General features: G+C 35.2%; 1 protein-coding gene across 10 annotated transcripts in view, besides 1 other annotated feature; it reads left to right on the top strand.

The window, feature by feature from the left end:
• The window catches only part of CCDC178 (coiled-coil domain containing 178), a 503,635-nt gene that overhangs the window by 137,808 nt on the left and 351,320 nt on the right, over window positions 1-14,507 (top strand). For all 10 annotated transcript variants that reach the window (NM_001371120.1, NM_198995.3, XM_011525951.2 and 7 more), the window contains one exon: window positions 9,921-10,074. In NM_001371120.1, coding sequence (NP_001358049.1) covers window positions 9,921-10,074 — 154 coding nt within the window. The remainder of the gene's footprint in view (window positions 1-9,920; window positions 10,075-14,507) is intronic.
• Window positions 1,981-2,513: an enhancer, noted in NCBI's record as "NANOG hESC enhancer chr18:30880684-30881216 (GRCh37/hg19 assembly coordinates)". NCBI's record gives its function as "activates a minimal SCP1, AML or CMV promoter by ChIP-STARR-seq in naive H9 embryonic stem cells {active_cell/tissue: H9 hESC(naive)}" and the evidence as "EXISTENCE:reporter gene assay evidence [ECO:0000049][PMID:30033119]".

Raw genomic sequence — 14,507 nt, 5'->3', positions numbered from 1 at the left:
TGGCTTCTTTCACTTAGTAAAATGCATTACATTTCTCCTTGTCTTTCCATGGCTTGATAGGTTATTTCTTTTTAAACTTTAAAGATTGACATATAGAATATGTATATACTCATGGGGTATGTAATGATGTTTTAATACACATAATATATACAGTAATTAGATCAGGGTAACTGGCATATCTATTATCACAAACATTTACTGTTTCTCATGTTGGGAACATTCCAAATCCTTCTCCTAGCCATTTGAAGCTATATATTATTGTTAACTATAGTCATTCTATATTGGTACAGAACACTAGAACTTATTCCTTCTATCTAGCTGTAATTGTGTATCCTTTGAAAAATCTCTGTCTATCCCCCCTTTCTCCTACATTTCCCAGCCTTTAATATCCTCTGTTTCAATTTTTACTTCTTCTTTGAGATCAACTGTTTTTTAGCTTCCATACATGAGTGAGAACAAGCAACTTTGAACTTTCTGTTACTGTCTTATTTCATTAACGTAATATTCACCAGTTCCACCCATGTTGCTGTGAATGACAAGATTTCATTCTTTTTGTGGAGAATAGTATTACGTCGTGTATACATATCACATTTTCTTTGTTCATTCACCGGGACACCTAGGTTGATTCCATATCTTGGCTATTGTGCATAGTGTAGTGATGAACATGGGCGTGCATATGAGTTCTTCAATACTGATTTCCTTTCCTTTGGATAAATGCCCAGTAGTGAGATTGCTGGATCATATAGTAGTTCTATTTGTAACTTTTGTGGAATTTTCATACTATTATCCATAGCAGCTGTACTAGTTTACATTCCCACCAGCAGTGTAGAAGAGCTCCTTATTTTTATTTATTTATTTTTTTGCATTCTCACCAGCTTTGTTAGGCAGTTTTTGCATTGCAATAAAGAAATACCTGAGGCTCAGTAATTTATAAAGAAAATAAGTTTAGTTGATTTATGGTTTTTCACACTGTACAAACATGGTAGAAACATCTGCTTTGTTTCTGGAAAGGGCCTCAGGAAGCTGACAATCATAGTGGAAGGCAAAGTGGGAGAAGTGGGAACAGGCATGTCACATGGTGAGAATGGGAGCAAGAGAGAGAGGGAGGAGGTGTCACACACTTTTAAACAACCAGATCTTGTGAGAACTCAATCACTATCCTGAGGACACCACAAAGCCATTCATGAAGGATCCACTCCCATGACCAAAACACCTCCCAGCATGTCCCATCTCCAACATTGGGGATTACATTTCAATATGAGATTTGGAGGGGACAAACATTTAAACTATATCATTCCACCCTTGGTTCCTCAAATCTCATGTCCACCTCACATGGCAAAATAAAAAAAAGTCTTAACTCATTCCAGCATCAAGTCCAAAGTCCTAAGTCTCATCTGAGACTCATCTCCTTCCAACTTTGAGCCTATAAAATCAAAGCAAGTTATTTACTGCCAAGATGCAATGGTAGTATAGGCACTGGGTAAACATTACTATTCCAAAAGAGAGAAATTGGTCGAAAGAAAGAGGCAACAGGCCTCATAAAAGTCTGAAATCCAACAGGGCAGTCACTAAATCTTAAAGCTCTGAAATAATCTCCTTTTACTCCATGTCCCACATCGAGCACACACTGGAAGGGGTCAGTTTTTAAGACCTTGACAGTTCCATTCTTGTGGCTTTGCAAGGTGCAGCTATTCTCATGAGTTGGAGTTGAGTGACTGTGGATTCCAGGTTCAGGGTGCAAGTTGTCAGTGGAGCTACCATTCTGGGGGCTGAAGGGTAGCAGCCATCTTCCCACAGCTCCACTGGACTGTGCCCCAGTGGGGATTCTCTGTGGGGTCTCCAACCCCATATTTTCCTCTGCCATTTTCCTAGTAGAGGTTATCTGTGAGGGCCCTGCCCCTGGGTCAGGCTTCTGCCTGGGCCCACAGGCTTTCTCCTACATCCTCTGAAATGCAGCTAAAAGCCTCCAACCTTCCTTCACGCTTGCATTCTATGCACCCACAGGCTTAACACCATGGTGGAAGCCACCAAGGCTTATGGCTTGTACCCTCCAGAGTGGCAGCCAAAACCATACCTGGGGTCCTTTGAGCCATAATTGTAGCTGGAGCAGCTGTGATGCAGGGAGCAGTGTCCCTAAACTGAGCAGGGAAGCAGCATCCCAGGCCTGCCCCCTGAAACAGTTCTTTCCTCCTGGGCCATTTTCCTGTAATGGGAGGAGCTGCCTCTGTGATCTCTGTAATGCCTTGAAAGTCTTTTTCCCATTGTCTTGGATATTAGCACTTTGCTCTCTTTTAGTCATACTAATCTTTCTAGCAAGTGGTTGTTCTGCAGCCTGCTTGGAATTTTTCTGTGCCACATGGCCAGGCTGCAAACTTTCCAGACTTTTACTCTCTGCTTCCCTTTTAAATATAAATTTCACTTTTAAGTCATTCATTTGCTCCCATATATGATAATAGGTCATTAGAAGCAGCCAAGCTACATCTTGAACACTTTGCTGCTTAGAAATTTCTTCTGCCATATACTCTAAGTCATTACTCTTAAGTTCAAACTTCCACAGATCCCTAGGACACGAACACAATGCAGTCAAGCTCTTTGCTCAGGTGTAACATGGGTAATCTTTACTCCAGTTCCCAATAGCTTCCTCATTTACATCTGAAACCTCATCAGTCTAGCCTTCACTGTCAACGTTTCTATCAGTATTTTGGTCACAACCATTTGACCAGTATCTTAGAAGTTCCAAACCTTCTCTCACCTTCCTGTCTTCTTCTGAGCTCTCTAAACTCCTCCAATCTCTGCCTATTACTGAGTTTCAAAGTCATTTGCACACTTTCAAGTATCTTTATAGCAATGCCCAATTCCTTGGTACCAATTTTATTTATTAAGCCATTTTTGCATTGCTATAAAGAAATACCTGAGACTGGGTAATTTGTAAATAAAAAGGCTTAATTGGCTCACAGTTCTGCAGGCTATAGAAGCATGGCAGCAACATTTGCTTGGCTTCTATTGAGGGCCTCAGGAAGGTAACAATCATGGAGGAAAGTGAAGTGGGAGCAGGCAAGCAGGCATGTCACATGGCAAGAGTGGGAGCGAAAGAGAGAGGGAGGAAGGGCCACACTTAAACAACCATTTCTTGTGAGAACTCACTCACTATCCTGAGGACAGCACCAATTTATTCATGAGAGATCCATCCCCATGACCGAAACAGCTCCCATCATGCCCCACCTTAAACATTGGGGATTACGGCTCAGCATGAGATTTAGGGGACAAATATCCAACCTATATCAACAGCATTTGTTATTTTTTGTCTTTTGATAATATCCATCCTAATTGGCTGATATGATACCTCATTGTTGTTTGCATTTCCCTAATGATTAGTGATATCAAGCATTTTTGAGAAATATCTGTTAAGGTTATTTGCCCAAGGTTTTTTGTTTTTTGTTTTTTGTGTTTTTTTTTTTTCTGTTGAGATGTTTGAAATCCTTGTATATTCTGGATATTAATCTGCAGTTTGATTAATAGATTGCAAATATTTTCTCCCATTGTGTACATTGTACTTGCACACTGTTGCTTGTTTGCTGTGCAGAAGCTTTTTAGTTTGATATTATCCCATTTGTTTATTTATGCTTTTGTTGCTTGTAATTTTGAGGTCTTATTCATAAAACTTTTCCCAGGACAATGTGTTGAACCATTTCCTCTGAGTGTGTGTGTGTGTGTGTGTGTGTGTGTGTGTTTATACTAGTTTTAAAGTTTTGGTTCTTACATTTAGGTCTTTCATCCATGTTGACTTGATTTGTGTATAGGGTAAGAGATGAGGTCTATTTTTATTATTCCATATATGAATATCAGGTTTTTCAGAACCATTTATTGAAGAGACTGTCATTTCCCCAAAGTGTATTCTTTCTGTCTTTGTCAAAAATCAGTTGGTTGTAGATATGTAGATTAATATCTGGGTTTTCTATGTTGTTTAGTTGGTCTATGTATCCATTTTTATTGTCAGCACCATGCTGTTTTGGATATAACAGCTTTGTAGTCAGGTAGTGTGGTACCTCCAGCTTTGTTGTTTTGCTCAAAATTGCTTTAGCTCTTTGGGGTTTTTGTGGTTCCATAAAATTTTTAACTTTTTAAAAATTTCTATGAATACTGTCATTGGTATTCTGATACGAATTGCATTTAAATTGTAGGTTGCTTTGGGTAGTATGGTCATTTTGACAATATTCTTTCAATCCGTGAGCTAGGATATCTCCATTTTTGTATCTTCTTCAATTTCTTTCATTAGTGTTTTGCAGTTTTTCTTGTAGAGGTCTTTGACCTCCTTGGTTACATATGTTTCTAGTTTTTTTTGTAGCTATTTTAAATGAGATTGCCTTTTTAATTTATTTTTTGGTTATATCTTTATTAGTATATAGAAACACTGCTGATTTTTGTATGTTGATGTTGAATCCTGCAACTTTACTGAATTCATTTATCAGTTCTAAGCATTTTTTGGTAGAGTCTTCAGGTTTTTCTGTATACAAGATTATGTCATCTACAAAGACGGACAATTAGACTTCCTACTTTCCAAAATAGATGCTGCCCTGTATTTCTTTCTCTTGGCTAATTGTTCTGGCTAGGACTTCCAGTATTAGGTTGAATGAGAGTGCTGAGACTGGACGTCCTTGTCTTGTTCTAGATCTTATAGAAAAAACTTTCAGCTTTTCCCTCTTCAGTATGATATTGGCTATGGTTTTGTCATATATGGCCCCTGTATTATGTTGAGGTACTTTTTTCTACACCTAATTTATTAAGAGTATTTTTTATTGTGATGAAATGTTTAATTTTATCACATACTTTACTTGCCTTTACTGAGATGATCATATGGCTTTTGTCCTTTATTGCATTGATGTAATGTATCACATTTATTGATTCATGCATATTGAATCATTCTTGACTTTCTGGGATAAATCCCACCTGATCATGGTGTGTTATCATTTTGATATATTGTTGGAATTAGTTTCCTGGCATTTTGCTGAAGATGTTTCTATCTATGTTCATCAGATATATTGGCTTATAGTGTTTTTTTCTTGTTGTGTCCCTGTCTAGTTTTGGTATCAAGGTTACAGCGGTCTTGTGGAATGAGTTAGGGAGAGTTCCTTTCATTTCAATTTTTTTGGAATAGTTTTAGAAGAATTGAAGTTACTTCTTTTTTTTTTTTTCAGACAGAGTCTCGCTCAGTCGCCCAGGCTGGAGTGCAGTGTGCAATCTCGGCTCACTGCAAGCTCCACCTCCCAGGTTCACGCCATTCTCCTGCCTCAGCCTCCCGAGTAGCTGGGACTACAGGCGCCCGCCACCACGTCTGGCGAATTTTTTTGTATTTTTAGTAGAGACGGGGTTTCACCGTGTTAGCCAGGATGGTCTCCATCTCCTGACTTCATGGTCCACCTGTTTAGGCCTCCCAAAGTGCTGGGATTACAGGCGTGAGCCACTGTGCCTGGCCAGTTGTTTCTTCTTTAAAGGTTCAATAGAATGCAGTGGTAAAGCCATCTGGTACTGGATTTTTTGGGGGGAAGACTTTTTGTAACTGAGTCAATCTTATTACTTGTTATTGCTCTGTTTAGGCTTTCTGTTTCTTCTTGGTTCAATCTTAATAGGTTGTATGTGTCTAGGAATTTATCGATTTCCTCTAGGTTATTTATTTTATTAGCATATAAATTGTTTATAGTAATCTCTAATTATACTTTTATTTTTTGTGGTACCCATTGTGATAACTCGTTTTTCATTTGTGATTTTGTTTTTGGGTCTTCCCTTTTTTTCTTTGTTAATCTACCTAATGATTTGTCCGTTTGTTTATCTTTGAAGAAGCTAACTTTTTGTTCTGTGAATTTCTTGTATTTTTTAGTCTCAATTTTATTACTTCTGCTTTTGATCTTTATTTCTTTCCTTCTACTTATTGTAATTTTGGTTTGTTCTTGCTTTTCTAGGTCCTTGCAGTGCATCAGCAGGTTATTTTAAATCGCTCTAGTTTTTGCTATAGTCATTTACTGCTATAAACTTGCTTCTTAATACTTCTTTTTATGTGTCCCATAGAATTGGCATATTGTGTTTCTATTTTCATTTATTTCAACTAATTCTTTAATTGTATTTTTAATTTTTTTCTTCATTCACTGGTCTTTCAGGAATATATCATTTAATTTTAATGTATTTCTATATATTTATTTATTTGTTTATTATTTGAGATGGAGTCTTGCTCTGTCACCTAGGCTGCAGTGCAGTGACACAATCTTGATTCACTACAACCTCTGCCTCCTGGGTTCAAGCAATTCTCTGGTTTCAGCCTCCCGAGTAGGTGGGATTACAGGTGTACGACACCACTCTCGGCTAATTTTGTATTTTTAGTAGAGGCAGAGTTTCACCATGAGCCAGGCTTGTCTCAAACTCCTGACCTCTGGTGATCCACCTGCCTTGCCTTTCAAAGTGCTAGGATTACAGGTGTGAGCCACCACGCCTGGCCCAAAATATGATTCTTAATTAGACTGATACCTTGTAGGTTTTCAAGTGAACCACTAAAGTTCACTTTCCCCTATTTGAGTATGTGGGATTTTTTATGTGTCTTATCTCAATCTTGATAAATATGCAGGTCTGTTTCATCTAATATTTTGCTTTTTAAATCTTTATTCATAAATAATTATAGACTCATAGGAGTTTAGACATAGAGTCCTGTGTACCCTTCCTCCAGCTTCTTCCAATGGGAGTATCTTGTATTGTATATACTGTACTTGTTGTCAGTATTAAAACCAGGAAATTGAGATAAGCCTAATCATTTCATGATTTTTTACATATTTTCATGTATGTATGTGTGTGTGTGTTTATTATTATATGCCATTTTATCTCGTATAGATTCAGTAACTACCACTACGATCAGAATACAGACTAGTTTCATTCCTTGTGCTACCCTTTTTATTCATATCCACTGTCCTTTCTCTGTCTCCTGACAACCACTATTATTTTCTCTATCTCTAGTCTTGCCATTTTAAGAGTGTTATATAAATGAAACCCTATAACATTTAACTTTTGATTTGGGCTTTTTTTTATTAAGCATAATGCATTTGAGAACAATCTGGGTTGTTGAAGGTATTAAGAGTTCATTCCTTTTTTATCACTGAATGAGATTCCATTGTATGGATATACCAGAGCTTGAAACTATCTGCCCTTTGAGGGACATTTAGTTTGTTTTCAGTTATTTGCTACTTTGAATAAAGTTGCCATGGATATCAATGTAGAAGTTTTTGTGTGAACATAAGTTTTTCATTTCTCTCGGATAAATATCAAAAAGTGTGATTTTTTGGGATGTACGTTGACTGTAAGTTTAATTTTATAAAAAACTGCCAAACTGGTCTTCCAGAACGGCTTGTACCATTTTATATGAATGCCAGCAATGTATGAGAGATCCAGTTTCTCTACAAGAGAACACTATTTTTTTAAAAAAATTTCAGCCTGGACTAGTAAGTTTGTAGTGATATCTCACTATGATTTGAATTTGCATTTCCCTAATGGCAAATTGTGATGTACATCTTTTCATGTGCTTGTTATTGAATTCTCTTTTTCATACAGTGTCTGTTCAAATGTTTTGCCATTTTCCCATTGTAATGTTTGTTTTCTTATGGTTGTGTGTAGAGAATTCTTTAATTTTGAAAATATAAGATTTTTAATCGGATATGTTATATGTAAATATATTCTATGTTTTAGTAAAGTCTTGTCTTTTTGTCTTTGAGGGTGTTTTACAATGCAGAAGTTCTTAATTTTTCTAAAATTCTACTTATCACTTTTTTCTTTTATTCATCATGTACTTGGTGTCACACACAAGAAATCTTGCCCTAATCCTGTCACAAAGAAATTTGTTTTCTAAAAATATTATAGGTTTACAATTTATATTTAGATATATAAGCCATTTTTAGTTAGATTGTATATAAAATGTGAGATTTAGCTTGAGCTTCCCTTTTTTTGCCAATGAATATGTAATTATTCCATCACCATATGTTAAATTACTTTCATTAAATTGATTTTGTAAGTTTGTCAAGAATCAGACATGCTTGTGTAGCTCTATTTCTGGGTCGTCTATGACCATTCTATTTATCTATTTGGCTATCCCTCTGCCAATATCACACTTTCTTGATTGCAGAGTTTGCATAGTAATTCCTAACAACAGGTAGAGTGATTCTTCCCTTTTATTCTTCTAAATTTATTCTGATTTAGCTGATATAACAATGAGGAAATTTAAAATAACAGTGGAGACAAGCATAGTATAAACTGCTTTTCTGGGAAACCCTCAAAAGGCTGAGGAATTAGTGGCATCAACTTCATCAAAAAATTGGAATAAGTGAACCACTAAAATAATAACTCCCAAATTGCATGACAGTGGGCAATTGTCCATCACTCAGGCAAAAGTCCATAGTGTATTCTCTGGACTGGAGGCAATAGATAACACTGAGAGAAGAAGAACTAATTTCAAAAGAAGAAAACTTAATCAAACTTACACATTTTGAATGTTGAGGCTATCTAACTCTCATTGCCTAACTGGCTTCTAGGACTCTGACAGGTAAGTCTATACTCTGCAGACATGGAAATGTAAAGAATGTTGTTCTTGCCTATTTGTTTGTTCCTTTAATTTTCATTTCTATAGTGAGATTGTAGATTTCGGTTTCATTTGACTATGCTGCTGGAATCAGGGTTGGTGCATAAGAATCTGGGCCAATTCAATAAGCACACCATATATTTATTGGTGATTGTTCATATTCTCTGTGCCTTTTTCTATTGAACAATTTTTCTATTACATATTGACTTGTAGGAGTTTATTACATATAAACGTTTTACTCTTATGTGGGTTTCAAATAAATCTCCTAGTCTACTATTTTGTTTAAGGTGTCTTTAAAAAGTTGTAATTATCTATATTATTTGCTGATAGTTTATGAAAATGGTAATTTTATCATTTTCTCACTGTGATTTTTTTGCTCCATTAAACAACCATAACAGTATCTGAAGATAATATTTTATTTGGAAAGTGGTTTCTACCTGCTAGATTAGATAAAGGATTGTGTGGTTCACAGATTAGCATTGGTCCTCTTGGGAGGGTCATATAGGAACAAATAACTCTTTGACTATTACTTCTTTTTAAAAAGCCCTGTGTTTTCCTAAGCTACAATTTCCTTTATTTTACCTCTAAGCCTGTGAAAGCAATAACTGCTTGGTCTTTTCACTTCTGCCTCCTCTTCTCTTCTTTTTTCATCTTTTTTTTCCTTACCTTTCCATCCCTGTATTACCCAGCTTCTGAATTAAAAGTGTATAAATCTCTTACCTGAAATCAGATTCAAAGACAGTTTATTTGAAAGCATTTATAATTGATTTTTCTCTCAATTATGTTTTCCCTTGGAAACAATACTATTGATGACTTTTTTCCTCACTATTTACTTAACATCTAAGTAGTATTTTTTTAGAAATTGTCAAGTTACGTTGGGATGGATTTCCATTGATTCATCGGTGTGTTAAAGCTAATTTAAGTATAATTTATTTACTTACTCATTTATATAATTTTTTTGAGATAGGGTCTCACTCTGTCACCCAGGCTGGAGTACAGTGGATCAATCACAGCTCACTACAGCCTCAACCTCCTGGGCTCGATGAATCCTCCCATCTCCGCCTACTAAGTAGATGGGACTACAGGCATGTGCCACCATGCTCGGCTAATTTTCAATTTTTTTTTTTTGTAAAGGCATTGTCTCTCCATGTTGCCCAAGCTGGTCTTGAACTCCTGGACTCAAGCCATCTGCTACCTTGGCCTCCCAAAGTGCTGAGATTACAGGCATGAGCCACCAAGCCTGGCCTAAGTATAATTTAAAATATATTTTTTCTTTTAATGTGAATAAAATAAACTGTGTTTTTATCCCTAGGAGAGAGATATATCAACTTAACAGTCTATTTGATCATTACTCTTCATCAGTGATAAATGTTAATACTAATATTGAGGAGAAGGAAGAGGAAGTGACTGAAGCAATAAGGGAAACAAAGTCATCAAAAAATGAATTACATTCTCTATCAAAAATGGTGAGTTTTTCATATTAGAAATAAAAAATACTGATTTTTGTTTTGAGTTATAAATAGTAAACTTTTTTGTCAATAATTAAATAGCAATTGGCCAATTTTTTTATATTTAGCCAATTTGCCTGTATTAGTTTTCTATTGCTGCATAACAAATTACCACAAATTTAGCAGCTTGAAACAGGACCCATTTATTATCTCAACCTTTTCGTAAGTCAGAAGTCTGGGCACAGCATGGCTCAAGTGGTTGCTCTGCCCCAGGTCTGGCAAGACTAAAATCAGGGTGTCAGTAGCCTGGCACTTCTGTCTGGAGACTCCAGGATAACACTATTTTTAGTATACAGGTATCAAAATATCACACTAGACCCCCTATAAAATGTACAATTATTGTGTGTCAATTAAAACAAAAACTGAAGAAAAACTTCAGACAAAAACTTCTTCGGTTTCTGTTTCAATTGACACATAATAATTGTACATTTTTATAAGGGGTCTAGTGTAATATTTTGATACCTGTATACAATGTGTAATGATCAAATTAGGGTAACATTCAGCATTCTTTGTTTTGGTAACATTCAAAATCGCCCTCTTTCGAGGATTTTGAAAATCCTCGTGGAAAATACAGAATGAATTATTATTAACTAGAGTCACTCTACAGTGCTAAAGAACACTAAAACTTACTTCTCTATTAAGCTATAATTTTTTATCTCTTATCCAACCTCTCTCTATGTCCCTACCCCCTACCCTTCCTAGTCTCTAGTTATCACTGTTCTACTCTCTGCTTCTGTGAGATCAACCTGTTTAGCTTCCATGTATGAATGAGAACATATGGTATTCATTTTTCTGTGCTAGGCTTATTTCACTTGACATAATACCCTCCTGTTCCATCCATGTTGCTGCAAATAACAGGAATTCATTCCTTTTTATTGCTGAATAGTATTCCATTGTGCATCACATTTTCTTATCTACTCATCCATTGATGGAAGCAGGTTGATTTCATATCTTAGGTTTTGTGAATTATGCCACAGTAAACATGAAGGTGTAGATATCTCTTTGACATACTGATTCCTTTTTCTTTGGATATATAACCAGCAGTGGGATTGTTGGATCATATGTAATTCTTTTCTTAGTGGTTTTTTTTTTTTTGAGGAATCTCCATACTGCTGTGATCTCCACTCCACAGTGGCTGTGTTCATTTATAGTCCCAACAACAACGTTTAAGAGTACCTTTTCTCTGCATCTTCAACAGCATTTGTTATTTTTTGTCTTTTTGATAGTACCCATTCTAACTGGGGTGTGCAGTTTTGACATGATTTAATTCTTATGGTTTGAGAACTGAAGCCTTTGTTTCCTTGGCACCTGTCAGCCTGAGATCACACTCAGTTTTCAGAGGCTGCCGCATTCCCTGGCTGTTTGTTCTCTTCATCTCTAAAATCAGCAGTGGTGTGCTCCTGCTTGGAAGCATCTGACCTTTCATTATGACTCATCTTTCCTGAAGATGAAGCTTTCTTTTTCTGCCATATCTCATTCACTGTTGTATAAGAACATAATAGATAAAATAAATAATAGTATAGTAAAAGGAAATAATATATAAATTATTATGCCAATTTGCATTCCTACCTAGAGTTAAAGACATTCTTCTCTACAATAAGGCTTTTTAATTGTACCTCATTATGGTTTGTTATTAGTTATTAATGGAACTGAACATATTTTAATGACTTTTGCAGGGTGATTTGTATTTCCTTTTCTGTGAAAACCTGCTCATGATTTTCCTGCTATATACTGAGTGTCATCTCACTGATTTGTAAGAATTTATATATCATGGATACTAAATATTTTCTAGTTACAAATGTTAAAAATATATTTACCCAACCTTTTTTCATTTCTTTATGGTAACTTCTGATGAAGAGACGTTTCAGTTTAATGTAGTATCAGGTATAAATACATTCCTTTGTGCATTTTCCTTTTGTGAACTTGTTTAAGAAATTTTCCCACCCCTGAGATTATAAAAATATTTTCTGTTATTTCATTCTCAATGTTTCTGAATTCTGCTTTTAATATTTATGTGATAGTTTTAGATGAAACTATGTTTAGAATGTTCAAAATTTAGGGTTGTTTTTCTCGCTCTGCCTTCTATTTACAAATTTGGAAATAAAAAGCTATTTCTACAATTTTTGGAATGCATGTTTCACTTGCCAGATGTGATGCATAATTAATAAGAAATTAATGTATGGGTGTAATGTGAAGTGAGTTTCCAGTTACTTTTTTTATAATATAGAAAACAAGTTGTTACAATACAATTTACTGATGAGTTTTCTTTATATATTTATAATCAGTGCTATCTCTGTCCCATATTAGGCTTTTATGTTTGTGTGGATCTTTTTCCATTCACTTTTTACTTTGATCTATTTGACCATCTTCACCTGAACACTCCATGGCTACGTCACGAAAATTCCATAATGGGTGTTAATTATCTATTATAGTGAATCCTCTGATCTTATATTTTCTTTTGAGTTCTAGGCTTTTCTTGATTCTTGCCCTTCCATATAGGTTTCAGGATTATCTGGTTCATTTATTTAAAATTTTTTGTTAGAATTATGATTGAAACTGTATCCACTTATGGAATAATTGGGGAAGAAATCAAATCTGTATGATAGGGACTTCTAAACATACCCATGATCTATCTCTGTTTATTTGAGTTGTTTTCCCAAATTGAACCTTAATCAATATTCTTGGAACTTTCCAAAAGGCAAACTATGTCTTTGCAAAATCAGACAGTGATGAGATAAATTAACCCTTCCATCTTCATCTAATGTTAAAGTTATTTTTAAAAATTGATTTGTAATGTGATCCTGATATGTTTATAAAATTGGTCTATATGGTAGAAATAGTTTAAAATTTATTATGGTTTAATTCATGTTCTAATATATGGGCAATTTGCATAAATATTTCATTTGACAAAAATGTTTTCTCTGGTTTGGGCATACAATTCTAAGTAGATTGATTTAGCCATCTGTGCTAATTGTGTTATTTAAATCTTTTATATTTCTGGTTTATTTTCTGACACTTCTATCAATTACTGTAAGAGATGAATTAAAATATCTCAGGGAGATAGATTACTTTTTTCATTTTTCCTAAATTTTGCTTTATGAATTTTGAAGCCATAAGTTTAGAATTATTAGAGTTGAGCTTTTTTATTATGCTTTTATTTGCAAGGTTTGAAGTTATGAATTATTAATAAAGTTTGTGGAATGCATATTTCACTTGACAGATGTTAAGCATACTCAATATCTTTAACTTTTTCCTGAACAGTTTAGGGATTTTGTGATCCTCTCCTGACATATATTCAATTTTCCATCATTTTATGCATATCTTATTTACTAATTTTCTTAAGATAATTTATTATTAATTTACACAATAAATGTTTGTTTATATTTATTCCCAGGTTAATATTTTGCACACAACTCTATCTGTTCGTTAGACTTTCCTAAATGAAATTCCTTTTATCTTTTTTTAAAAAAGTTTTGTTGTTGTTTGTTTTTTTTTATTTCTTGGGATGGTAGTCTCACAGTGTCACCAGGGCTGGAGTGCAGTGATGCGATCTTGGCTCACTGCAACCTCTGCCTCATGGGTTCAAGTGATTCTCCAGCCTCAGCCTCCCCAGTAGCTGGGATTACAGGTGTGTGCCACCATGCCTGGCTAATTTTTGTATTTTTAGTAGAGATGGAGTTTCACCATGTTGGCCAGGTGGTCTCAAACTCCTGACCTCAGGTGATCCACCCACCTCAGCCTTCCAAAGCGCTGGGATTACACGCATGAGCCACCCTGCCCAGCCATTTTTTTAAATTATTTTTAAACTCTACCTCTTGCAAATAAGATTCAAGATTTGAGATTTTCAAAAAATTTTTAAATTTTATTTTCATTTTTAAATGTCTTAATTTTGTCTCATTCATGCAGTGTGGAGAATATTAACCTAAATTCATATGAGAATGACTTACACTGCTACATAGGCAAGAGAGAAGGATCCAGAAATAGACAAGGCTGAAAACACTAAACAAAAACAAAAACAAACAAACAAAAAAACCAACCCACTAAACCAAAAACACTGGGCTGAAATACTAGAGGAGGAGGAAATGGCATTGATGAGAAGGAAGAACCTGATCTTAAATAGATAGTAGTATGAGTTTCTCTACATTTGCCCTTGTTTCTGTCTCCAGCCTCTTTCTTGCTCCCACTTTCCCTCTGACTCTATACTCTAACCACCTGAAACAACCTCAGGACAACAGAATGTGCCACATATTTTCATTCTTCCAACTCTTTATAAATACTCTTCCCTCATAATATAATGTCTGTTTGACACTGTTCATTCTCTCAGTCCTATCATTGTGTAGCTGAAATCTTTTATTTTAAATCTCAACTTGGAAGGAAGAAAATCCTTGGTG

This window comes from Homo sapiens, chromosome 18 (genome assembly GCF_000001405.40).
Source record: "Homo sapiens chromosome 18, GRCh38.p14 Primary Assembly".
Taxonomy (NCBI): Eukaryota; Metazoa; Chordata; class Mammalia; order Primates; family Hominidae; genus Homo; species Homo sapiens.
The sequence above is the reverse complement of the archived record's forward strand: the minus strand, read 5'-3'. Positions and strand labels throughout refer to the sequence as shown.